At 45.4% G+C, this 27,848-nt stretch overlaps 1 annotated feature.

Moving 5' to 3' along the window:
* Positions 2,043 to 2,588: an enhancer, noted in NCBI's record as "OCT4-NANOG hESC enhancer chr14:99410740-99411285 (GRCh37/hg19 assembly coordinates)". NCBI's record gives its function as "activates a minimal SCP1, AML or CMV promoter by ChIP-STARR-seq in naive and primed H9 embryonic stem cells {active_cell/tissue: H9 hESC(naive and primed)}" and the evidence as "EXISTENCE:reporter gene assay evidence [ECO:0000049][PMID:30033119]".

Below are 27,848 nucleotides of genomic sequence, written 5' to 3'. Positions count from 1 at the left end.
GTTGGCCTCCAAACCATCAGTCTATAGCATTTTGATGATTTAAGTGTCGATGGATCAAAAACATGTGGTCCGAGTTTCCCCTGAATTCAGATGCATGTGGAACTTAAAGGAAAGTTTTTTTTTTTTTAAAGGATTTGGAGAAACAGCCTGGGTTTTACTCAATGCCCTGACTTTGAAAACTTGGCGTAAGGTATTTGCCGTGTATAAGTTCCAAAGGGGCTCTCCTGGGCCCTCTGGAAATTGATTGGTGGGGAGGCAGAAGAGACTTGTGCAGGAGTGGGGTGGGGGTGGGGGCTCAGATCCCTTCTGCACTGGACTCAAATCAGCTTTGTGCACCTCCGAACATGGGGAGAGGGCTAAGACTTGAGAAGGGAAAAAATGCTGCAACCTCCTCTCTTCCAGAGACCTCCCCCTTTCATCCTAATTTTGCTCAAAGTCTATCAATGTCCAGCCAGTCAACATCTACTGAACACCTCCTCTGCGCCAGGATTCTGAGTGGATTCATGTGAATGCCTACTGCTTGCTCTTTCTTATCCCGTGCTCTACCCAACCGAGCGCCTCAACGTTCCAGCCGCCCTGCCTTGGCCTGTGTAGATTCCCCTACCTGGCATCCCCTTTTCCGATCTTTATCCAGCCAAATCTCATCCATTCACACCCATAATGTTCACTGTGGTGCTTTCTGCAGACTCTGGGCCGCATCAACTCTTGGGAGTAATGGCGGACTCGCAGGGAGATCTGGCTTCTTGGGTTGGAATCTCTAATTGCTCAGGACACAGAGCTGCTGTACAGAGGGATGTTGGCGTTTGCTCCTGCCGCTCAGCTCCGCCCAGTCATTTTTGGAGGGTTTCCTCTGGCCTCCTCCCTCTCGTGCCTTGTTTACTGCAGGGAGTGATTTTAGCTTAATAGAACCAGGAAGGAATTCCGCTTTCATGTGGTTGAGAAGCAGAGGCCCACTCAGATATCCGTGGGGTTTCATGGCCAGGCAGGGGAGCTGGTGAATTTGTTGGGGAGAGCCCTGATCCCAGCAGCTCACTGGGAACGAGGCCTATAAATAACTCCTGCCAGTCAAAGCATAATGATTTCAATCTTCCCACTGTATAAATAAACAGTATTGTTCAGGAGTTCTTCCTGGCTACAGTTTTGGCCCATTAGCAAAGGCTTGCAGAGGATCCAGCTGGAATTTTTGTCGAAGGCAAAGGATCTGACATTTGGGGAGTAATTACGGCCCCGTGTGAGGCATCTGAATAGACTGTCCCATTAAACTCTCATGCCAGCTCCAAGAGTCAGTATCATCCCCGTTCGACAGATGAGGAAATGGAGGCTCAGGGATGACATGGCACAAACCAGAGCTCTCAGGCCAGGGAAAGGGAAGTAACGTCAGGCTTGTCAGAGTGCAGACCCCTGGCACCTCAGCCCCCTCGATATCTCAGTCATCCTGCAGCAACACTACCGAGATCAGTGTTCATGGAAGGCTTGTGTTTTTCCTTGGTAATATAAATAACACATGCTCTTTTCTTTACAGGAACGTTTGAAAATTTAGAAATGCAGAAAGAAAATTAAAATCACCTGTATCCTTGCCACCCAGAAAAATACACGAGTGTTTTGTTTACATTGTTCCTGTGTTTAGACAGATCGGTAGATAGATAAGAGACGGAGAAATGACCTTACAGACACACACACTGAGGGATAAATGGTTTTTAAAAACACAACTGAGATAACAGAGTAGATTCTGTTTCAGAAGGGGCTTTGGTTCACTTGATGCTGATGACGCAGTTATTATCTCCATTTTCAGTATGAGGCATTGGTGGCTCAGAGGGTGTGATGACGTGTCTATGCTCATGGCTCATGCAGGTGGACAGGACCAGCTTTCCATCCTGCCTCCTCCTCCTCTTCTCTTTCTGTCCCCATATCCAGGTGCAGGTACTACTCTGGTCATGGATCGGTTAGCTCATTGCATTCTTCCATTAGTCTCTAGATTGCTGAAGGTCAGCATTCTAGTCCTGACTGTGTGGCTTACTAGCTGTGGGGCCTTAGACAACTCTCCTTTTGTTTTCCTTCATCCATAAAATGGGTACACTTTGATCTAAAGCTCTAGTGAACCCACAAGTGTTGGTAGAGCATGCTCTACAGATTGTCTCTCCAGGTTGGGAACAGGGTGGAGCAGAGGTTTGGATTTTGAAGCCAAGGTTTGACACTTAGGTACTGGGAAGACTTGGGAAAGTCATTTGACCTGTGCTTCAGTTTTCACATCTGTCACGTGAAGACAATTGTGTCTACCTCATGAAGTTGTGGGATCATTATCACAACAATAGGAGGTGTTGAGTACTTGTGATGGGCTGCGTTGAGATCTTTTCATAGATTCCTTCGCTGGTCCCCATAACAACTGTGAAGATTAGGGATGATGACTCTCCCCATTTTACAGATGAGGAAACTGTGCCACAGTTAAGAAATTGAGGGCTAAGTTTACACAACTAGAAAACTAGATCTGAGCTGGATGAAGACCCTTTGAAACGGGAAACCCTTTTTCTATACAAGACTCAAGCCAGGCTTCTGGCTACACAAAGTGGGTTTGGGGCATTTGTCTCTATTACTGTTAGCCAAAATGTATCTCAGCCAACAAACAATGAAAATGAGAAACAAATTTTTCTCTTTCCTTGACATAAGGAAAAACCACACTCCCAAACCGTGGAAAGTCATGCGTATCTCCTAAATCCTGCAAAATGCAATTGAAGAGGAAGGTACCCAGAGCTAGTACCAACTCTTTGGACTTTGAGCAGGAAACAACTTTCCCTAAGAAAGAGTCACCCAGGGCTAAAAGACAAATTGAATGAACCATGGATTATGACCACATCATCTAAGCATGGGTGGGCAATGTCCTGTGGAGACTCAGATGACATCATGCAATGATGAGAGGGTGGAGGTGCAGGAGAAATGGACTCAGCATGCCAGTGCTAGTACCTACGACCAAGGCCCCTGGTCTCGGGCACTGGTTATATATGAAATGTGGAGGAGGAGAGATAGACGCCGAACACTGGATCAAACACAGAGACATCCCCTGGAAAAGGAAAAGCTCCCCTTCAAGGCCAACAGGATAGAGACATGTTTCAGGGCAAAGGAAATCACATTTAAGAAACAAGGACCCCAGCCTGTGTCCAAGTTCATGATGTCCCAATTCATGATCTTTCTCACCTCACTCTCTCTCAAGTCAATATGTGGCTAGCTCCATTCAACATGAAAGGTTACACAGAGAAACCAGCCCATGACCTACTGTACTGCGAAAATAAAATAATCACAGCCATGGTGGGAAGAAATCCCTTATCAAAAGGCAGATAAAGGGAATTTCTAACATAAATTGCCCAAGGAAAGAGTGAAAAAATTTAGACAAATACTTCTCCATAAATTAAAAAAAATTATAAAGCAAGATATAAAGAGACGATGAAAAGGGATCTGGCAGAACTCAAGAAAAAAAACTGATGTGAAAAAGAAAAATGCTACACAAATTTAAGCTTCACTAGAATCTGAAAGTGGGAATCAACATACTAGAAAAACATCATCAAGGACGTGGTGGTCTGGCCAGCTCTCTAACATCTATTGGCATCTTCAGCACCACATTCATTATAGCACAAGACTCCCACATATTGAAAGATATTTAGGAGCCTTATGTAACCCCCAGCCTCTCCAGTTACTGTGTCAAGCAAAAATACCATTCCCCATTTTCAATGTATGATGATATAAAATGATTGTAAAGATGATATACTACTAATATAATTTTTTTGTGTGTGGTGGGGGACAGGTTCTTGCTCTGTCACCCAGGCTGGAGTTTAGCATCACAATCATTGGTCACTGCAGCCTCGAACTCCTGGGCTAAAGTAATTCTCCTGCCTCAGCCTCCTGAGTAGCTGGGACTCCAGGGGTATACCACCATGCCCAGTTAATTTTTAAATTTTTTGTAGAGATGAGGTCTTGCTATGTTGCCCAGGCTGGTCTTGAACTTCTGGCCTCAAGCAATCCTCCTGCTTCGGTATATTTTTATAATAGATAGGCAGAAAGGAGAAATAAGATAAATGCATAATTTGTGTTCTTTGGGAAGACACCAGAACAAATGACACAGAAAAACATTAAATGATGTAACTGAAGAAAACATTACTGAAATCAGGGCTACAGATCACAATACTTATGAACATTTCAGGTAAAAATAAACATTCCCCAAATGGAAACTCCCAATTTATTTTGTTTTTCAAATCTACACAACACAAAGATGAACTAAAATAAATAATGCAGGAATGATGGTATCATGGCCAGATGGTGAACATAATAGTTATCAAAACTGACTGAACCAAAATTTTGTTCACTGAATGAAATGTAAATATTATAAAGCTAGACAATAATAATACAATTAAAAAGAGCTAAGAGGTAGAGAAGGAGAAATATACGGTGTTAATTTCCACTTCCTTCATTGCAGGAAGCTAATAGTCTAAAATTAAAATGTAATTTAAAGATAACTCAAACCCAATGTGTGGTATAATGTCTTGTCTTCCTTTAGAGGGGCCTTTTAGGAAGGAAGTCATATCCCATATACTGAAGAGAATGGATCTGAGACAAGCCTTCCGATTTTACTTTAGTTTCTTTTTTATTCCATTAACTTCAAGTAAAATATAATCTAGAACTTTTAAATATTAAAAAGAGTGTGCATAATGTTTCTATTTTTGTCCCTTTATCTTTCTTTTATTTCATCATCACTATCATTTTATCTATTTTTACACATAGAAGAATGCTTAGAATAATGTTTACCAAATACTGGTGGCCATTGTTTGAGCGGTGGAATTTTGAATAGTTTTTCTTTTTTTTTTTTAACTGGCTTTTTTGTACTTTTTTTTGTATTATCGGGGTATTTTCACAATGAATATGTTTCATATTTACTAAACAGAGTCAATATTCTTAAAAAAAAAAGCATGCTATCACAATGGAAGAAAAAGAGAAACTAATTTTATTTTATCCCCACTCTATAAAGGGAGGTGTCTCTCTGGGCCGCCCATTCTGGGCATTCAAATTCTAATGGTGGCTGCAAACCTATTTCCAACCATTTTTCTCAAGAATATGTGATGTGCTTTGAAGCTCAGGCTACATCTTAAAAAAAAAATGGAGCCATACAATGGAATAAAGTTCAAGTGCACTTGCATTTAGGTTAATTATAAAGAATGCATTAATTTAACTGCATTGAGGTGATATCATGAACCCCAATGCCTCTTTTCTTGTGGGAGTTGCCTGACACAAAGCAGGTGTGAAGAGGGTAAATGTGTGTGCTGTGGACTCATTCAGAGACTAGTTTGGTGTCATCTGCTGATTCACTTCTCATAGTATCCCATAATAATAATGTGTAGTTTAAGTCTGGTATTATATGAAGCTTTTCATTTGGACTCTGCTAAATACCTTCACATTTATAATCTCAATTTGATAGCAATTGATGAGAAAGCCATATATCACCCATTTTGTTACTTTCTGAAGCTCCAACACACCTGAGGATATGCAATAGCCCCTTCTGCCATCCATGTCATGTGGATGAGGCTTGCCTCCTTCTGTAAATCCCAAGAGTGTGCAGGTGACCTGGGCTCTGGAATTCAGTGCATCCCACCTGCCTGGGCACCATGAATTAGTTCAGGGATGGGCAAGGACTCCAAGGTGGCCCATGGGAACAAACACGGGGCCTTTTTCTAGTGTGCCCAATAGAGACAGTAGTACAGATGCACAAGAGTAGTGCAGATGACACAAATCTGTACCTGCTAAGCACCACCACATAGGTTCCAGGAATAAAGCTGACACGGAGGAAAACAGACAAGAGAGAAAGATAGACTAATTCCCATTGCATTGTTGAAGATCTTGGATCCAGCCATGCCTGCACCCAGTGCACCTTGGATTTTGGCGATACACAAGATACTTTATCCATTTGGCTTTTGGTCACTGGAGGCTTAGTGGTCCTTATGCATTTGGAAACAACACACTAAACAGAGCCAAGGTGGAAGCTAGATCTTCTCACTCTCAGTGTGGACTCCTTCTACCAGACTCCTTCTACCAGACCAGTGTGGACTCCTACCAGACTCTGGAGTACCTCTGTGGCTTTGTTTGTGGAAGAGGAAGTCTTACTCATTTACTGTGCACCCTGTATCTCAGGTATCGCTTTCTCCATGAAAACTGAACTGCAATAGATGAATAAATTACAACTAAAAGGTTGTCACTTGGAAAGTTTTGTTTTAAATGATCTAAATTAAAGGAATGGTCTTTCCCTTTTAATGTGCGTATAAAATCACTGCACTTTTCTGGTTAACAATATAGTTTCCATTCTCATTATCAAAATCATAAAAATGAGTGAGATGACAGTTTCTTTTTAAAATGCAAAGTGTTTTATGCCAGAAGTTCTAAGAAATTAGATGGGGACTCTCGCTATCTGCAGGTGTAAAAGAGTGACTTTCTTTCTTTGTGTATTTTTTCACAATTCTGATCTAATCCCCTTTCTTTAAAAACAAGAATGGTATATATATACATACCATTAACCGAAGAAAACAAGAAAATCCACACATAAATGCCCGTATTTTTATGGAGATAAAGAGAAGGCAGTGAGCTGTTCAAAAGGAAAGTTATAAATGTAATGATAGGAAGATCACGTGATGCGCATTAATTCAAAAGGGCCCCTTCATTGGATTGTGATCTGATTGTGTTTACAAATATATAGCCAGAAGGCTTTTAATTTTGGGGCAATTTCATTGTTCATAGATATATATCTGGCTGCAGATATATGTCTATGAAATTATGTGCTTATGTGTTTTCAATGAGATACAGCCCCTCTCCTTTAATGCAATAATGTTCCCACTTTATGATCTACGGTTGCCCAAAGTTGGGGCAATTTTATAACAATCTTATTTGAAATACCATAATATATGAAAGATGTAAATAATGTGATGTTTAGAGACCCGGTTGAAATTTGAATTCATTGGAATTTAGCATTTGCTGGAGCTAACAAGGACAGACTTTATTAAATCACAAGGATTGGGTTCTCCTTGCATTTCCAGCTACTTCTTGCCTTCTTGCTGTTTATTTTTCTTTTAAGCCCGAGTTCAATAAATAAACCCAACTAACAATTAAAAAGTCCCCAAATGATTCTAGATTGAAAAATGCAAAAATAGCCTGGCTGGCACTGCACTTGCAGTGGAGTTTGATTAAATTCTCTAATTGCATTCGAAAGGGTGGGGAAGATCACAATACGCCGGCGCTTTTCGCACGAGCCTCCGACGAGAAACTTCAATTACCACTAAAAATGGAAAATGTTCATAATAGATAAATGCTCTTCCCATTTGAGAGTTGCCTTTTAAACATTACATAACTGGTTTGGGTGAGGTACTATTCTATTTCCTGTTGTATGCTGTGGCTCGATTTACGCCCCCTGCCCCAAACCTGGGAACCTTCTCTCTCTTCCAGGTGAGGTGCTTTGCCTGTAGCCAGCTTGGCTGAAACAGCTTTTTTCCTAGTCTGAGACTGGATGTCTTGTGTTAGGGCTGGTGGAGTCTTTAAAGTTCCTCGGACAGAAGGAAGAACAAAGACAGAGGAAGATGTTAGTAGGATGGTTTTAGAGCAACTGTGGCGTCTACTGTTGGTTTGGACTCTGCTGTGGAAAGTGGGTGAATAAGGGGCAGGGCAGGGCAGGAAAATGTGTCAGGCACTGCCAATATTCACATGTTGCCCTGAACCAAATATGCCTTGATCTTCTGGGAAGATGGATGGTTACTCACATGGCTTAGTTCAGTCACCTCCTCCAGGAAGCCTTCTCTCACACTGTCTCCTCTGTGCCCTCAAGAACACTGTGCATTCCCTATAGTGGCATGGTCCGCTTTAGTACGATCATTGTTCATACCACCTCCTGCCTCCCAGTGCACCTTTGTGAACTCCCTGGGGTCAGAGCCCGTATTTGGTTTTCTGTGCGTCGCTCAGGGTTTGGCCCCTTGTGGGCTAGAAAAGCACCAGCCCTACTAAGTAGTTTTCCGATGCTATTCATCTCCTCCTGTTTCTCTTCCACTGTCTCCCTCCACACTAGAAAACAGGAGCTGCAGAGTCACAAAGACCGGGGTTTGACTCCTGTCCTGCCCATTTTAAACTGTGCAGAGAGCTCCACACTTTGGACCTCGGCTTTCTCATCTGTAAAACAGAGATAAGATTACCCGTCCCATAAAATTGCTGAGCAGGGTTAATGGAAATCCCAATGGTGAAGGCAGCTAGTAGATGCCAAGTGCATACAGTAGACACTCAATCTGTACTAGTTTTCTTCTTGATTTCTCTCGTTCTAACCACCACCTCTGCCATCGTCATGGTTTAAAGAGCATTTACCCAGTGCTGGGCCCTGTGCTGAGTGCTCTACACAGATCATCTCATCGAGTTCTCCATGTCCTTAGGTTTCCCTTCTTCTTCCCCTCTTTGCTGTGTTCCAGCCTCATTGCCCAGCCTCATGGCTTTTCTTTGGAGGGGCGGGATGGGTAGGACTCAGCCCAGGCATGCTCCAGGCTCCATGGCAATTCTGATTCCAGCTTTGGCCTCACTTTCCAGGGGCTGGACCTATACTTTTTGCAGCCCAGTAAGCCAATGTGCACTGCCTCAGAGAGAGGCTGGGGTACATTCCCATGAGATTGGACAGACCAGACAGACAACGCTGCCTTGAGTGGTGCCTGAGTGTGGTCCAGTGTGGCCCAGTCTCTGCCTTCTGCCCCGGCTCTACTCATCTCCCCATGTTCTAAGCCCGCCTAACACTCAGCCACACCTGTTTCTGCAGAGGCCCCTGCCACCTCGGCTTCCTCCCTTCCTGTCTCAGGCTTACCTGCACCTACCCAAGTGTGGCACATTCCTGTGGTCCCCTCTTCTATTCCTTTCACATTTGCTGCCCTTCCTGTCATCCCTCCTTTCTTCTTCCATTTTCTCTCTTTTCTCAGCCCCTAAATTTTATAGCAGATTCTAGCATTACAGACATTCATAAGACTGAGTCACTTCCTAGAGGAGCTCCAGCCTGATGGGGAAGACAGAGCAATGACCCATGACCACAAAACCTTTTGGGCTCTGGAGCTGCATTCATGCAACCTCCTACACATAGGGTCAAAGAACAGGAGCACAAGGAAGATCAGGGTAGGGTAAATTCAGCTTTGTAGAAATGCATGAATCAAATGCCTTGGGAATCGTACTCAACACAAGTCAACAGATGCTGTGGTGGCTTATATAAAGTGATTGAGATCTGAGGTTGCATTACAACGGGCTCAGGTTTAGGATGGGGAGATGGACGCTCTGCTCATTTCTGCATTGCTCCCTTATGCTGCAGGCATTGTGCTCACTTCAGAGTGGGCAGTGGGCTCTCCCTCCCCAAAAAGCAGCAAATGGCAGGACATTTTATAAGAAGGTGATGAGGAGTGGGGGAGGGGAGACTTCCATCTCATCGGATACTGAGGAGGGGCAGAATTGAGCTGTGGAAGGACAGAGCCTGCTGCCCCTAGAGGAACACATGCCATTGCCCTCAGATTTCAGGGGCTAACTGAGAAAAGGAGTGAAGGCACTCAGTAGGGCCTGAAAGCAAAACAAGAAGACATCAATATGGAAGCCAACTTTGGCACAGGCTAAGGAAGATCTTTGATACCAGCAAAGCCTACTCTGCCAATCCTGTCCAAGGGAGGCCATTCCCTGACACTGGAGGTGATCAAGCAGGAATGCCCATTTTAGGGGGCTGGGCAGAGCAGTTGGCATCCCAGGTGTAGACTTTGTCTCTTTGCCTCCCAACCTTTCCCTTGCTGGCACCTTCATAGGGCTGAGTCACAGAGCATGCAGTTCTGCCCTCCATCCCTTCTTACTTCCCTGCCCCACACTAGGACAGGTGACTGTCCCCAGCACGAGACAGCTGATATCCTGGAGGCCCACACTTCTCCAGCTTGCAGCCTATGGATGAAGTTTTGTGTTGGGAGTTATAATCTTTTCCTTTTGCTTCTGCATCCACGTAGTCTCAAGTACATGGAAAATGTAGAGTATTGAATGAGCCATGCAGGTCTAGCCATGCCAGAAACTTTCAGACTCTCCCAGAGGCGAGCTTGGTTGGCTCCCCTCTAAAGGAACAGCAACAGAGTGCAGACACCAGCCTCTCCTCTAGTTCCTGTCTCTTCTTCTCTTTCCTCTCTGTGAATGTTGCCCCATAGAAATCACGGGGGCTCCCACTCTTTCTCACTGCTCATGACTGGTGGTGCCCCTCAGTCCCGTGGCTTCTATCTCCCAGACCCTCTCTCATGTATGGCTCCCCCTCCTTCTCCACTGTCCGTATCCTTATGTTCACTATTCCTTAATCTCACCCCAGAAGTAGGGGTTTGAATGGGTCCTCTTGGGCTCAAATCAAGGACTCAGCAGGGCCGCCTTCCTCTTGGAGGTTCTAGGGGAGAACTTATTTCCTTGACTCTTCCATCTTCCAGAAGCTGCTTGTAATTTTTGGCTCTTTGTTCCTGCCCCCATCTTCAAAGCCAGCCACCTGGCAACCTGGAATCTCCTAATCCTGCCCCTCCTGCCTCTCTTTTATCAGAACCTTGTGATGACACTGGGCCCACTTGGATAATCCAGGATCATCTGCCCATCTCAAGGTCCTTAATTTAATTATGTTAGCAAAGTCCCTTTGCCATGTAAAGTGACATATTCACAGGTCCCGGGACTAGGATGTGGACATTTTTGGGTGCCGTTATTCTGTCGAGCACAAGACTCCACTACGCTGCCTGCAGTTACCATCTTTAATCCCACACTGCGTCATCCCAAGGCTGCTAGCTCTCGTCTCCTACCTGACGAGGGACAGTCTCCTTAGCCTGGTGAACAGTGCGCCCTGTGATCTGGTCCTGGCCAGCCAGCCTTGTTCTCCATCCTCTACAGAATCCACTTGCTGGGACTTGGTCCTGCATGTTTCTCCTTCTCACTGTCCTGTGCCTATCCCCCGGCAGCCCCTTCCACCCAGATGTGGCCCCATCTTAGCCACAACTCAAGCCTGACCTCAGCATGACCACACCAGGGATTTGCATTGCCAAGGGTTGCTGTCAGCAGGGGATGATCCTCAGGAGACCCCCAGTAAGTGGCCTGTGTGCCATGTCTTTTTGCTGCTGTGCCTCTCCAAGCCTTAAATTCATCCTCAGTAGCTCCTTAAAGACCAAAATCCCTCCCTGTGGCTCTCCAGGCCTGGTTTCCTTTTTTGATTTTGACTGGCTTCATCAAACCAGGCCTGGTTTTGGTTTTCCCTTTTTGGTTTTATTGGGTTTCATCTCAGGCCAGGGTTTTCCTTGCTCTTCCTCCAGCCACCATCGCCTTCTTGCAGTTCTTCAACAGTACCTCAATCCCTCCTGTGTCTTGGCTCTTGCTCACAGCTTTCAGGTCCTCTGCTGGATGGCTTCATCCCCTTTTATGTTCACCCAACTTTGGCCTGCTCATCCCTCAGCTCAAATTCTCTTCCCTGAAGAAGCCTTCCCTAACCCTCCAGACGAAGACAGAGACTCTCACTGGTGCCCAATCCTTTGAGCACCTCACAGGGCTTGTAATCATATACTCATTCGTGTGTCCATGCAATGAATTTTGTCTCATCTCCTGGGGAAGGTGGACATTGTAGTGGATGCTGTGATGCATGGCGTGTGTACTCTGTTAGGGCCCAGGAACTCACTTCCCAGCTGCTGGGGTTGTTGGTCAGGGCTGGTTCAGAGCTGTATCCCTTTCTGGAAATTTCTCTTGGCTGAAGGAAGCTGCTTAGCCCTAAATTTCTCCCTCTCCCTGGGTGTATCCCATCTCTACTAACCGTGCCATATGGGAACATAAAGGCCTGGCCCCCTTGTCTCAATCCAGGACAGCTCTGATGGGTGACGCCAGATTGAGAGTTCCCCATGGGGTTGGCTGAGGCCTTTATTGCAACTGGATCCCAGTCCAGTTTCTCCCTCTGCCCTGTCCTCCCCTTGCTCCATCACAGGCGTGGTTCTTGAGAGCTTGTGTTAGTCCGTTTTCATGCTGCTGATAAAGACATACTCAAGACTGGGTAATTTATAAAGAAAAAGAGGTTTAACGGACTCACAGTTTCATGTGGCTGGGGAGGCCTCACAATCATGGCAGAAGGTCAAAGGCACATCTTACATGATGGGAGACAAGAAAGAATGAAAAACAAGTGAAAGGGGTTTCCCCTTATAAAACCATCAGATCTTGTTTGACTTATTCACTATCATGAGGACAGTATGGGGGAAAACACCCCTGTGATAAAATTATCTTCCAGCAGATCCCTCCCACAACACGTGGGAATTACGAGAGCTAACAATTCAAGATGAGATTTGGGTGGGGACACAGGCAAACCATATCAGAGATCTCGTCAACAAACCTCCAGGATGTAAATTCCATCTCATGGTCTATTACCTAGGAGCCCACTAAACAATCAATGCTCCTGCAGTGGCCCTATGATGCTGACTCCAGAATTTGATTTTGGCACTGGATCACCTGCTGGCTAACTGGCGGTGAAGACTCCATAACCGGAGAAGGTGCTGCATGGACAGACCCCAGCATGCAGTGGCAATGCAATTATTCGACCTTTTTGCTGGTGGTGAAATGAGATGGGATACTGGGGGAAGGGATGCACTGGCAGGTGCAATTTCTCAGGTGAGGAGGGAGGGGATAGTAATTAAAAGTATTATGGAATTGTCGCTGGGGGCAACGAATGCATTACAGAGTCAATGCTAGGCTGAGAGTGATTAATCACCAATTAAGGGCTAAGTGTGAAAGCCAGAGGGCAGCAGATAAAGAGATTCGCCCTCCTGGAGGATGGAGAGTTGAGGATCAGGCCCAGGTCATAATTATAAAAGTGGCAGAGTGTTCCAGAGGAAGTCAGATCCTCAAACCCTGCAGGTCTGCTATGCCAAGGTCGGATCCCTAATTAGGAAGGCATGGGACCCACCGAAGTTCAGTTTCTCCCTTTGTCCAGTCCTGCTGCCCTCATCCTTCAAGTGAGAGTTTTACAGTGGTGAGATGGGGTGGTTCATTCCCTCTGGTGAGCCCCTGTTCCCCGCCATGCAGTAGAGATGCTGACAACAATAAGAAGGGGTGTAAAATGTGCTATAGGAGGGACCACGAGTGTCAGATGCAGCTATGACAACGGTAGTGGTGGCTGCAGTTTGTCCCATTAACCTTTCTCTTGTAAGTCCTCCCAGGGAAAATGACCAACCAGAATCCTAGAGCAGCTATTCCCAGATAGAGTAAACTCAGTATGTGAAATAAATGGGTGTAGGCACCACAAGGGGTAGACAATGGTGGATACTGTGGGGAGCAGCCCTGATCCCAGTTTGCCTCAGGTGCCTGGAGTGTTGGCTGTGTCATTGCTCTCTGGACATTGCGCTTGGCCAAAACATGCCTTCTCTATAGGCAACCTGCATCCAATGTCCAGTTAATGCTGGGGTACAAATGCCCAACCCCTTTGCTTTGATTTGGGGCATCCCTGAAGGTCTCTCCTAACTCCAGAATTTCCTGTGAGATCAGCTGCAGCACCCCTTGCAACTGAACCACAGTACAACTTTCTCCTCTGCCCAATCCTGCTTTCCTCAATGCTCCCTCCACCCCTCCCAACCTGTTGTGCCAGAGAGCACTCATCAATAACCCTTCTCCATGTAGCTCTCAGAGTCTTGCTCTTGGACTCCCAGAGAACCAGACCTTCACACATATTAAGGTCAGGAGCTCTTGTCCCCTCCATCTCTCTCCTGGGTTAATCTCCAAATACAAGGTCCCTGCTCACTGTCCCCAAACTCCCCAAGGACGCTGCTATAATTCTGTGCCTGCCACCCGCTTCTCTGGCCCTATTCCCACTAGCTACCTCTGCTACTTTTCAAGCACCCTGGGCTCTAGCCTCTCCAGCTGGTCCATCCAGCTACAAAATAAGTCCTGGTTTTGCAGAGAAAACAGGAAGGAGAGGAGGCATTAACCTGCTGATGAAGAATGCCCAGGGAAGATACCCAGTAAAAGTGCAAGTGCATGGAGCCTGCTCTCCCTGTCACCTGGGAATCATTTACTCCCCAAAGCCACATTGCTTGGGGAATGACAAGACAGAGGAAGTGAGGTGCAGGGTAGGGAGTGCCCACACACTTTCCTTTCTAAAGACACGTGGCTAGATGAGCTGATCACCCCAGGAGGGCTTATGGTCAGTAGATTCTAGTAGCTTCTCCCATAGGCACCCGGAGTCCACTCTAGTTGCAGTTAGTGGCTCAGATACCAGGCTATAGTTAAAAATCTTTTCAAACTTTTGGGCTTGGCAAAGCCCCAAGTGTGGTTTTTTGTTTTTCATGTTTCTTAAAAAGTGTACTTCTCTGCTAATTTCCAAGCCTCCTGTGCTTTGAGGGATCTTTAAACTGCATGTTTTGGGTTCACGTACATGAAACTCATCAAAGTGCTGTTTTGTGAGATGGGTTTGATGTCCAAGCAGGCATTAAAAGCTGTTTTGTTTTTGCTCCTTGACCCAATGATTTACGCTTTACTAAGACTGAAAGGACTGCCCGGCGTGCTCAGGAAGGAGTTCGGCCTCTTTTCTAAAGGCAGGCTGTCCAGTGTCCTGATGAGATCTCAAAGCTGGCACAGCAGATTGTCTCTTAGGCCTAATAATTTCCATGCTTACCCTTTCATGAGAAGGAAGAGTATTTTGGAAGAAAATGACTTTTTTTTTTTCCTTTTGGTAGCCTTAAAAATCTGCATTACCAAAAGAGAGTGAAGGCAGCAAATTGTCCCCCCGCCCCGCCAACTTGTGGCTTTGCTGCAAAGGCCTCTGGGAAGCCTCTCTCTACATGCCTTGTTCTTTTCGCCAACCACATCCTGCAACTCCACAGGCAGTGCTAGACTTGGGCAGCCAACGCTTCTCACTGGGACACGTTGGCCTGTCTTAGCCACTAGGACAGGTTAGGAGCAGCTGCGACTGTTTTTAGGCTGACCCGAAGCGGGAGGAATTTGCAGAGGACCTTCCTGCTGCAGAGAACTCTCTTACCTGCCCTCTGCTTGATCTTCAGTAAAACACTGTGACATGGGCATCCTTGTGCCATTTATAGGGAGAGAAGGCAAGGATGGCAAAAGCTTGCCTGATGACTCCAGAGCGCCCTTTCTTCTTCCTGGGGATGGACAGATGGTCCAGTGATCACAGCCTGTTGCCTGGGAACGCTGGGGATGTTTTGCATTGAAAGGGTGTGAATGTGACCACAGAAGATTTGGGGACTGGAACCCATCCTCACATGGCTTTTGAACTTGCCAAGCTACTAACATGCAGTGACTTTGTCCAGGGCAAAAAGCCTTGAACTTGGAGCTAGCCCCTGGCCTGGCTGGGTGTGGACTGGGCAGATTCCTCTGAGTTGTAGTTTTTTGCCTGTGACATTAGGTTGTTGTGAGGACCCATGGTAAAAAGCAGGTGGTGTGCTTAGTACAAGGCCAGCCTCACAGCCAGTGTGCTGATTTTTATGATTATGGGATCAGGAGGCCAGTTTCTTTCCTTACCCCTTGGCTGGTGACCACTGGGATCAGATCAGACAACAGCTGTCTTGGAGTGCTTCACCTGAGTGAGGTGCTTTGATTCCAAGCCCACTGAGAGGTGGCCTAGAATAGGGAGATAAGAGTGGCTTGCCTGGTCTTGACTCTACTAGATGGGGAAGGGTGGCTGGCTCTGCACATGCACCTGGGGGAGAGGGGTTGGAGGTGGTGGGATGTACAGAACCTGGAGAAAGGTACTTTCTCTAGGCTGAACTGGTCTGACCTCCCTGATTGAGATACTGAAGTAGAATTCACCAGGGGCCATTCAGTGGAGACAGGCTTAAGGTTCTAGCTGTCACTTGTACAGCCCAGTGGGGTGTGCATGTCCTGTGTGCACAGAAGACAGGTGGAGTTGCATCACATAGAGACACTTGTGTTGCTGGGTTGATAAGACCTTGCTGCTACTTCTCAACACGGATCCTAAGTGGATAATTTCCTCTTCCGTCCATTTTCCTTCTTACATTTAGCAATTGATACTTTTACCATATGAAACATCTAGTTTATTTTTAGTCTGGCTGGAAAATGTCACTTGGTTGGGAAGGGATCTGCCCTCACCTCTGTGTGTGGAGCTCACGGGGCTAAGAACTGGAAGCTAACCTGAGTGATTGTTTAACCCAACTCCTTTGGTCACCAGTGAGGAAACTGAATCACACAGAGAGAAAGGCCATTGCCAAGATCCTCATAACTTGTTAGCAGCAGAGATGGGATCTGAACCCAGAATTATTTTCATAGAATTTTTTTTGGAAATTTGAAAAGGAAGAAAAGGTGCAAATAATTTACAATCACCTTATATTCTCACCACTCATAATTAGCCTTTTACCTTTTCTTATATATGTTTCAGTTATTTTTCTGTGTATATAGTTGAGCTATTCTGCAAGTAATATATGAAGGTACCAGAGTACTTTAAAAACTATTAGAAACTTGTAGATAAATACACAATTCATGCCTACCTCCTATTAAAACTATTTCCACCTGGTCCATTTCCTTGTCTCCAGAAGCAGTGATTATTATGAGTTTCATGTCCTTCTAAGCCACTAAAAAATTGTGTGTGTATTTTATAAGTATTATATGTATTATTTTTGTGTTTAAACATTTACATAAATGATATCGTGTATCATATCGTCCAGAACCATCAGCAACATACTCCCCCCAGTGATGTGTTTCTGGCATCTGTTTATGTTGCTGGCTAGAGATCAGGTGCATTTTTCTCAGTGGCTGAACATATTCTACTGTGCTGCCCTGCTATTTCTTAGTTATCCACACAGGCATGGGTTATCACCAAATGCATGACTTGCTTTTCAGTGATCTGTATTTATTTATGTATTTATTTATTTATTTATTGAGACAGGATCTTGCTCTGTTATTCAGGCTGGAGTGCAGTGGTAAGAACAAAGCCCACTGTAGCCTCAACCTCCTGGGCTCAAGAGATCCTCCCACCTCATCCTCCCAAGTAGCTGGGACTGTAGGCCTCAGAAAGCACAGCCTGTACCTGGCTAATTTTATTTTTTTTAGAGATGAGGTCTCATCATGTTGCCCAGACTGGTCTTGAACTCCTGAGCTCAAGCGATTCACCTGCCTCAGACCCCTAAAGTGCTGGGATTACAGGAGTGAGCCATTGAATCTGGCTCAATGAATTTCTGAAAAAATAACCTGGAAACCAGAAGGACTTCTGTCCATGACCTGAAATTATGGAGGTGGGCCCTGAGCCAGTCACTTCACCATTGTGTGCCTCACCTTGCCTATCTTATCAAGTTGAATACTGCTTGTCAATGAATTATGTGGATAAACGTGAGGTTCCACCATAGCTCCAGCTGCCCCCACACCTAAGGGTCTAAGTATTAAATACAAAACTCCCTTGTCCTCAACATAGGATGTGTTTGTGATGAAATAACCACACCCCTACCCCCCATATTGCTCCCTTTGTGTGTACAGATTTTGTCATGGGAAGGCTGTGCTTTCTATGACACCTCAGGATACGATGTGTCGGCAATGGAGAAGTCGCGCCAAAGAGTAGAGATAGAGAGGGCTCCCTCTTGAAAGGTGAAGTCATTTCTAGTTTCTGTCACCTCGGAAACAGGTGGATCCTGAGACAGAAAAAGCCCTGGGCAGGCGGTAATCATAAAGAAGTCGAGATATTTCTATGGCAGCTCCAAAAAACAGTGAGCCCCTCCTCCAGGGGATGATGGATGCACGTGGGTAGGTGACCTTTCTAAGATTACAAAATGAGCTCAAGAAAAGCCCAGAGTTCAAAATCAGGGCTGGGTCTGCTGTCTGTGGTGTGGGCTCTTCCCATTCTGCCCATTTACAAAGGGGACTGGTTGATGAAACTTTAGCTTATCTCAATGGAACGTATTGTTGATGGAATTTCAGGCAGCGCTGAGTCTAACAGCAGGTGAAATATAATCAACCCTGCTGGGGTAGCTGGGAAAGCCTTCATATGAGAGGTGACGTGGGAGCTGAGTTTTGAAGCATGAATGGGAGTTTTCCAGGTGAGATAGGAAAAGGCCATTCCAAGTAAAAGGAGAAAATAGCCAAAGATATGCAGGTTTAAAAAATCAGGAAGAATTTCCTGGGAAATGGTGCAATGTGTATGAGGATGGGGCTGTGGAAAAGTCAGGAGGCTGCAGAGACAGATACGGTTCTGACCATATCACGGAGGGGATGAAGGGCTGTGGGAAAATCAAGAGCAGGGAAGCAATAAAGTGAGGTTTGCGGCTCAGGAAGATGATCAGGGAAGCCATGGGGCAGAGGATGGATTGGAGGGAATGTGGCTCAGGGCAGAGGCGCGGGTGGATGAGCTCATTGCAGCAGCACTCTTGAGAGATGCCAGCAGTGGGGGGTCAAGAGGAGAGGCTGGAAGACTGTAAGGGAGTGTGGTAGGGGTTAGAGGGAAGGAAAGGGACCTAGCTTGCAAATGTTCACCATGACCCTGTGAAAGAGGCATTATCGCCCGCTTTTACAGATAAGACAGCAGAGACACATACAAAAATTCGGTAACAAAGCCTCACAAGTCCTACCAGTCTACGGGACTCCACAGTCAGCTCTGTTGCCCCTAACTCCTAGGGAAGGGGGAAAAAGCGTCCATTAATCTCAGAAGACCAGAGTTTCACCCTGGGGTCCTGGGCAAATAGCAATATTGACAGACATCACTGCTGCTTCCCAATATCCTGCCTCCTTTTTTGTGGGCAGGTGCGGGCACGTGACTAGTTCTGGCCAATGCGTTGAGAGTGAAGCTGACAGATGACACTTCTGGGCTGGCACATGTGCCAGCTGATGTGAGGCCCTTCAGCTCTCCATTTTGCTTTGTTGCACAAGGAAACACGAGTTGAGATGCAGACTTCATCAGCTTGGGAACTTCAGTGACGGGGCTGAGCAGGAGCCACCTGCCTACCCACGTTGCTGCCGAGTATGAGTGGGAAATAATTCCCGGTTGTTTTAGGCCATGGCCACTTAGTCACCTGTTCTTGCAGCAGAGCCTGCTGCATACTGACTGATATGGTGATGTGGGTCCTTGAGCAAGGGCATAAAGGAGGAGGAGCAGGCTGAGGGCAGGGGTGGAAAAAATGGATTTGGCAAGACTGAGTTGGGGCATAACATTTTAGTACAAGGAAATCAGGCTTTGGAGGTTAGCAAGCCTGGGTCCAATGCCACCTCAGGCACCCACTATCTGAGGGCAAAGGCTCCTGGCTTTTCTGGCCTCAGTTTCCTGAGCAATAGGGAGAGTTGTAATCACTACCCCCTTGGCCTTTAGGGTGAGTAGAGCTGACACATACAGAGCTCCAGCAAGGTACCCAGGCCCTAGGAAGCACTCAGCAAACACAATCATCACCCTGGGAAGATGGCGAGAAGAGAGTGGGCAATTTGTGCACCGAAAGAATAGGCTGCTTTTTTTTTTTTTTTTTTTTTTTTTTGAGACAGTTTCAGTCTGTCGCCCATGCTGGAGTGCAGTGGTGCGATCTCCACCCACTGCAACCTCTGACTCCTGGGTTCAAGTGATTCTCCTGCCTCAGCCTCCAGAGTAGCTGAGATTACAGGCACCTGCCACCATGCCTGGCTAATTTTTTGCATTTTTAGTAGAGATGAGGTTTCATCATATTGGCCAGGCTGCTCTTGAAGTCCTGACCTCAAGTGATCCAACCACCTCGGCCTCCCAAAGTGCTGGGAATACAGGTGTGAGCCACTGCACCCAGTCAGAATGGACATAATTTCTATCATATTCACTTGAATTTGCCTAGTACAGAGAATGGTGCCTGGGCACAATAGGTGTTCATTTTATATTCACTGGATAAATGAGGGAATAAAACATACTACAATTATTTGCAGAATGTACCTATTTTCTCTTACAACCAGGCCGGGAACTCTGATGGGAAGGACCTAGACGTATTACTTCATCTGTTTCCTCAATGCCCAGTGAATATGAGTTCTCTGGAAATTTTCCTTGAAAAAATGAGTCATCCTGGCCTTTAGAAATAGCCAGATCTGACTTGGACACAGGGCGGGAAACATCACACACTGGGGCCTGTTGGGGGCTGGGGGGCTGGGGGAGGGATAACATTAGGAAAAATACCTAATGTAAATGACGAGTTGATGGGGGCAGCAAACCAACATGGCACATGTATACCTATGTATCAAACCTGCACTGCACATTGTGCACATGTACCCTAGAACTTAAAGTATAAAAAAAAAAAAAAGAAATAGCCAGATCTGTGGGGGCATTTCTCCCTGACATATTGATACCAAGCCCAGCCTTGATTTTCCAGGGGATGCCCCACTCCTTATTGCAAAGTCTCTGTTCTGACCTCTGGTATCCCCTCAGGGACCCTTCAGGCCATGAGTTCAAATGCCTGGGAAGCCCACCTCACAGGAGCCTCAAGTCCCATCCGTCTTGTTCCCAAGTCTGGCAGGATCCTGACAGCCCCATGCATGTGCCTGTCCTCAGACCCCTGCAGAGGGCTGGGTGCAGACCTTGGCAGGAGTAGGCTGGCAGGCAGTCTCTTTCCTTCCCAGGCAGACGTGTGTGTAGCAAGTCTGTTTATCAGGCAACGCCTTGTAGCCAGCGGTGGCGGCTTAACAGTGGCAGAAACGCCCGCATTGCCTCACCAGCTGCTGGGTACTAAGATGCGCCCTTGGCCTCAGCTGGCAGATAAGCACCTGCATTGGAGAGGGAACCCTTGATCATGGGCTGATAAGTGCAGGGAAGAAACAACAACAACAACAAGAAAAAGCTGAGCAACCCGCTGTGGAAGGCTTTTTCATGTACGCATGGGCGTGTTTCTTGTCTTCGCCAACACAGAGGTGATGCAAAAGCTCTGATTCTAATTTAATTTGGTGGTCACGCAATCATGGAATGAGAGCATGTCAGAGCTGGAAGGGACTCTGGGGATTGTCTGGTTGAACTCTTTAATCTTCCAGGTGAGGACAGTGAGGGCCACAGAGCTGTACCGACTTGTTCAGGATCATCCAGCAAAGTTTTGGTGGAGCTGGAACTAAACCCGAGGGTCTCGAGACCCTTGGGCCTGCGATCTTTCCATCATATGGGATTGCTTCACAGGCTGCCACCTGATCGCTTAGGTGTAGACCGCAGGTTGCCCTTTGGTGCCTTAACAGTCCTCTTTAATATCACTAATTGGCCCTGTCTGCCTGCAGAGTCAGATAGATGCCCCCTGTCCCTGCTTCTCCCCCACCACATGCCAGCTATTGGGGTTGACCAGTTAGCTCAAGGCCACAGGGTCTGATGCTACTGTTTCAAACACTGTTATTTCATATTTTGAAAAAGCAAGGTTCAGATAAGAGAGGCAACTTGCCTAGGTGATACAGCTAGAGAAAGTGAAAGACCTGGGTCTAAAATTTTCAGGTTCCTCATTTCAGTTCTTTCCATACATAGTGTATGAAACCCAGGTGTGGGTGAAGGTGGGCAGAAGGGCACCCGGCCTCTGCAACTTTCCCCTGTGACCTGGTTTTGGGGAAGAGTTGCACATGTTTCCTCAAGGACAGAAATGGAGTCTGGCAAGACTTTGTATTGAAAATCTTGTTCTCAGTAGGGGCCTCCTAAGCAATGGGTATAGATAAATGAATGAATCCTTTTTTTTTGTTTGTTTTTTTGAGACGGAGTCTTACTCCATTGCCCAGGCTGGGGTGTGATGATCCGATCTCAGCTCACTGCAACCTCCATCTCCTGGGTTCAAGCAATTCTCCTGTCTCAGCTTCCCCAGTAGCTGGGACCACAGGCGTGTGCCACCATGCCTAGCTAAGTTTTATATTTTTTTTAGTAGAGAGGGGTTTTCACCATGTTGGCCGGGCTGGTCTCGAACTCCTGACTTTAGGTGATCTGGCCACCTTGGCCTCCCAAAGTGCTGGGATTACAGGCGTGAGTCACTGTGCCTGTTTTTTTTTTTTTTTTTTTTTTTTTTAGAAGGAGTCTCACTCAGTTGCCCAGGCTGGAGTACAGTGGCACTATTTCAGCTCACTGCAAACTCCATCTCCTGGGTTCAAGCCATTCTCCTGCCTCAGCCTCCCGAGTAGCTGGGATTATAGGCGCCCACCACCAAACCTGGCTAATCTTGTATTTTTAGTAGAGATGGGGTTTCGCCATGTTGGCCAGGCCGGTCTCGAACTCCTGACCTTAGGCGATCTGCCCGTCTCAGCCATCCTAAGTGCTGGGATTACAGGTGTAAGCCACTGCGCCCAGCTGATAAATGAGTGAATGGTAGGGTTTTGGTGGAATATTCATACTGCAAAAAGTGTTTTCAAACTGTAGGCTACTTATTTTTCTCTGTGAAACTTGCTTTCTAGGTTTGATCTGTGAATGGGGTGAAACAGAGAAATCTAGATTTGAGTTTAAAATTGCTTCTACATCAAAGAAAGTCATGAACAACAGCAACAACAAACTAGTATCACCTCAAGAGTCATCAATATAATTGTTACGCTCAATTTCAGTTACTTGCGTGTCCCGCTGGAACTCTATCAACTGCAATAGAGAGGCACCAGGATCAAGAGGCCAAAGAAGAGACCCAGAGCTAGCAAAAGAGGCATAGGGTTTTATTAGCGGGAACTTACCTCCTGAGTGGTCCCATGGTGGCGGGTGAGGTAGAAGAACTGCAACCTCTTGCGAAAGGCATGCAGTTTATATAGCATTTTCTCTCAGCACCCTCCCACTAACAACCTCCACCTGGCGAACTTTAGCCGACCCTCAAAACTGAGGCTTCAATCCCTTTCATGGCCCGCATTCCAAGGGACAGGTGGGGGGTTCAGGTGTTCCTCATAGATAAGGAATGAATTTCCAGATTGTCCACGCCTGGACTCATTAGCTTGGAACTCTGAACACACAAGCAGGTGTGTCCACCATACACCGTGGCTGCAACATGAAGTCAGCCTTAAAAATGCTATCTAAAAATATTGATCAAATACCTGCATGTGATTAAAAAATCGTATCATAGAGATATATTGCTATTAGGTTGGTGCAAAAGTACTCGTGGTTTTTGCCATTAAAAGTTATGGCAGTTACTTTTCCACCAACCTAATAATAAAAAATAATAGTTTCATCACAGCACCCCTTCATGCTAGTCCTTTTCTCCTGAGTAAGCCACTTTTAATTCTGTTAACCAGTTTTGCTTGTTTGTTTTTGTTTATCCTGGTGATTCACTTCATGTGTATATACACATTAATCATTTTCTTTTGAACAATCAGCTTTAGACATCATCTGCTGGCCTCCTCTTGTAACAGATGAAGAATTTGTTCTTTTGAACCATCACCTTCATCTTTGTCTTTTTCCCTACAACTCATTTTATACACACACACCCCTCACAATAGTTTAGTTCCCTTATTATTTGTATTTGTAAATGTAAATTATATATGAATACATATTAATTCAACTGTATACAATAACATTTGACTCACTGTTTACAAAATGGACATAGGAACACTGCAAATCTCTCATCACCTCTTCTTTCCTTGCTACTTCTCATTTCTAACAACTGTACTTTTGCTTTTATATTGCTAAGATTGATAACATGTATTTTTTATTTTATAAACTTAAGTCTACAACACTTTGTCTATATATAGGCATTCTAGAAGTTCAGAAAACAAATTATGTTTACTGTATTCTGTAAATATTTCATTTTCAGCCAAGTAGTATATACTGTGATTACTACTATAATTACCGCTCATTTCAGCCAGGCACGGCGGCTCACACCTGTAATCCCAGCACTTTGAAAGGCTGAGGCTGGTGGATCACCTGAGGTCGGAGTTCAAGACCAGCCTGGCCAACATGGTGAAACCCCATCTCTACTAAAAATACAAAAATTAGCTGGTGTGGTGGTGGGTGCCTGTAATCCCAGCTACTCAGAAGGCTAAGGCAGGAGAATCGCTTGAACCCAGGAGGTAGAGGTTGCAGTGAGCTGAGATGGAGCCACTGCACTTCAGCCTGGGCGACAAGAGTCAAACTCCATCTCCCACCCCCAAAAATACTGTACATTTCTTTTTCTTCTTTTAGTTTCTAATTGTATTCATCACCTACTTGAGGTATCCCCAATTCTCAAAAATAAATTCAAACCCATAGAATTCTACCTCTTTTTCACAGATTCTTCCCAACCCCTGGAATCCTCCATTCTTCTGCTCTAGTCTCGTCCAATTACTCTGGGTGCTGTAGAGCTGTCATTCTATGTCCTGAGTTGAATACTATATCTTATTCATCTTTCTTGCTTATTTACTCACTATATTACACAAGCATAGCCTCTATAAAGTTTCCTATAAATCTTTGTATGTCTGATTATGTCTTTCTTCATCTCTCACACATTATTCTACTCTTGCCCTTCAGTGACAGTTTAGCAGGATATAGAATTCCAAGTTGTTGCTTATTTACCCTTAGAACTTTGGAGGGAATTCCACCATTGTGCCAAACCCAGAGGTGCTAATGACACGTCTGACCTTGGTTTTATTCCCTTTCCTTTGAAGATGATCCCTAGATGATTGAGCATTTATCTCTTTATTGTTGGTGTTCTAAAATTGTATAATGATATGCTTACTTATGGATCTGTTTAAACATTTGTGTACTGGCCACTCAATGGCCCAGTATTTCTGAAGACTTTTGTCTTCTACCTTTGGCACCTTCTTTTGTATTATAATTTTTTTAAGACGGCACTTTTCTCTCCATTTTAACCTGTTTTCTCTTTCTAGATTTATTTGTTGGATGCAGAACCTCTTAAATCATGCTTCTTTGCCTCTTCTCTTTTTTTCTCATATTTCCATCTCATAACATTTTTATTCTGCTCTCTAGATTTTCTTTATGTTAGCTTCCAAGCCTTTCATTGAATTTTCTTCCCTTTTGACAATCATATATTTAATTTCCAGAACATTTTCTTGTTAAATGATTGTTCCTTTTACATAGCATCTTGTTCTTACCTTATAGGTGCAATATCTCTTTACATATCTCAGAGGATACAAGCTTATTTTCTCTGAATTATCTTTGTTTTCTCTAAAATCGGTTTTTCAGTTTGTTTCTTTTGGCTTCTCTTCTATTTTCAGACTTCCCTAAGATGTCTGGAGAGCCTTGACTAACCACCTAACTAAAAAGGTGAGATTCTAGATAACTAACAGGGAGCTCTGTGTATCTGGGCAGAGCTGGCTGATGAGCAGGTTCCCCTCTGGGGTCAGGGAGTTGTATGAAGAAAGATGTGGACCTGGGGCATCCTCATGCACTTGGATCTAGGCACTGGTGCCCACACCAGCAATCCTACTTCTTTCCACTTAATGTCTTTAAAGAAAAATTATCCACTTAAAAAGATAGGGCTAGGCATTTGGTCCCTTTTTTTCTATGTCCATGTGGGTGATATGGTTTGGCTGTGTCCGCATCCAATTCTCATCTTGAATTGTGGTTCCCATAATCCCCATGGGTCGTGGGAGGGACCCGGTGGGAGGTAATTGAATCATGGGGGTGGTTACTCCCATGCTGCTGCTCTCATGACAGTGAGTGAGTTCTCATGAGATCTGATGGTTTATAAGGGGCTTTCCCCCTTTTGCTAGGCACTTCTCCTTGCTGCTGCCATATGAAGAAGGATGTGTTTGCTTCCCCTTCTGCCATGATTGTAAGTTTCCTGAGGCCTCCCCAGCCATGTGGAACTGTGAGTCAATTAAACCTCTTTCCTTTACAAATTACCCAGTCTTGGGTATGTCCTTATAGCAGCATGAGGATGGACTAATATAGTGGGGATGGGCCGATGAAGAACTCCGTTGACAGGGATCCACCATTTTATGACCATGTAGAGTATTTTCACTGCCCTGGAAGTCTTCCGGGCTCTGTCTATTCATCTCTGTCTCTCCCGACCCCTGCCAACCACCGATCTTTTTTTACTGTCTCCAAAGTTTTGCCTTTTCCCGTGTGTCATAGAGTTGGAATTATACAGTATGTAGTCTTTTCAGACTGGCTTCTTTTGCTTAGTGCTATGCATGAAAGGTTCCTCCATGTTTTTTCACGGCTTGATAGTTCATTTCTTTACTCTCTGTCCTTTTAGAACAGCGTTTCCCTGATTGCTGTATTTAAATTCGCAGCCCTTCTAGCATTCCCTACCCTGCTCCTTGTTTTGTTCTCTTTCAAAGCATTTAACATCTTGATATGTGCCCTAAAGTCAGCTAACTTATTTTTATCTGTCTTCTCTATGAGGGTGAGAATTGTTATCTGTTTTATTCACTGCCATTTTCCAGAGCCTAGAACAGTGTCTGGTACACAGTAGGTCTCAACAAATACATCCTGACTTGGATATAGAATGGTGTGTTCCACAGATATAGCTGTATCAGCTGCAGGCCTCTGCTTTAGCTCCAAAAGAACCTGTTATGTGTTGTTTTTTCACAAAAACAAGAGTATTCTCTTTCTCCAATGATAAATTCACATCTTCATGTATATGTTAAAAACAGATCAATTGGAAGCTTTGAAATTAGACACCCTTTCCAATCCTAAATGAGGTTTCAAAAATTTCAGGACTAATTTTTAGTTCTGGCAAAGCATGCAGTACTTCTCCCTGCCTTCCTTTTCAACCCTTTTATTTTATTTTATTTTATATTGATTGATTGATTGAGACGGAGTCTCGCTGTCACCCAGGCTGGAGTGCAGTGGCGTGATCTAGGCTCACTACAACCTCCGCCTCCGGGGTTCAAGCGATTCTCCTGCCTCAGCCTCCCATGTAGTTGTGACTACAGGCATGCGCCACCTTGCCCAGCTAATTTTTGTGTTTTTAGTAAAGATGGGGTTTCGCCATGTTGGCCAGGCTGGTCTCTAACTCCTGACCTCAAGTGATCTGCCCCCCTCGGCCTTCCAAACTGTTGGGATTACAGGTGTGAGCCACTGCACCCGGCCCATCTCCAACCCTTTTACTTCCTCCATTTCAGCACCATCAATCCAGTGACAAGAAGGTGATGGTCTTCTTCTGCTGTATAAACCAAACTCAATTCACTTTATTGAAGATGTGACCATGTGGTCCAGACACCGGGGGCTTAAGGACAGGAAACACAGCTCCAATGGCAAAAGTCAACTTAGAAACTGTTGCCTTGTTCCTTGCTTTTCTCTGAGTTCATCTGAGGGAGGCTGTTTGTAAACGGCAAGCACCTTCTCAGATCCTCATTTCCCCTCTCCCCAGTCCTCTTGTGCCTCTGCTGGGTGTCTTGCCTGCCAGCCTTTTGTCCTCATCTGTAAATGCACAGAGTAAGGGCTGTCCTGCCCCTCCCCACTCCGCAGGGTTGCCATGAGAAGCAAAGAAGCTATTGCATGCAAAAAAGCACCAAGGATTGGGCCAGCCCTTCACACTGGCTGTGGTGTGGTGTGGCCAAGGTGGGGACCTGCTGGGACCTCGTAGGGCACTACCCCTGCTGGTGCACTTTGTGGTCTCTGGCCTGGTCCTGTTGCTCAGGGCCTGGATGAGGTCAAGGTGACACCCAGGGGTTTGGAGCAGCTCATCCTTCCTTCCTTAGCAGGTTCTGTCTTTAGGAAAAAAGGTGGGGCTGCAGAGAATCTGATGTTGGGCATAGCCCTGAAATGGACTAGGACCATCACCAGGCCAGCATCAGCCAGAAGTGGAGTTGGGGCCAGGGGTGGTGTCCCCAGATGATGTCCCCTTTCTACTGGCATCTGTGCCCCGTCCCATCTCTCAGACATGGTTTGGGTCCATGAAAATATAAGAGAAGCTGTTTCTAGAAGACGTGTCTATGATTTTCATTGAATTTGTTGTTATTATTAGGAGAGAAATCCTAACACCTGAGCAGACAAAGCTTGATTTGATTTTTTCCAGGGTTCT

The sequence above is a fragment of the Homo sapiens genome, chromosome 14, assembly GCF_000001405.40.
Source record: "Homo sapiens chromosome 14, GRCh38.p14 Primary Assembly".
Taxonomy (NCBI): Eukaryota; Metazoa; Chordata; class Mammalia; order Primates; family Hominidae; genus Homo; species Homo sapiens.
The sequence above is the reverse complement of the archived record's forward strand: the minus strand, read 5'-3'. Positions and strand labels throughout refer to the sequence as shown.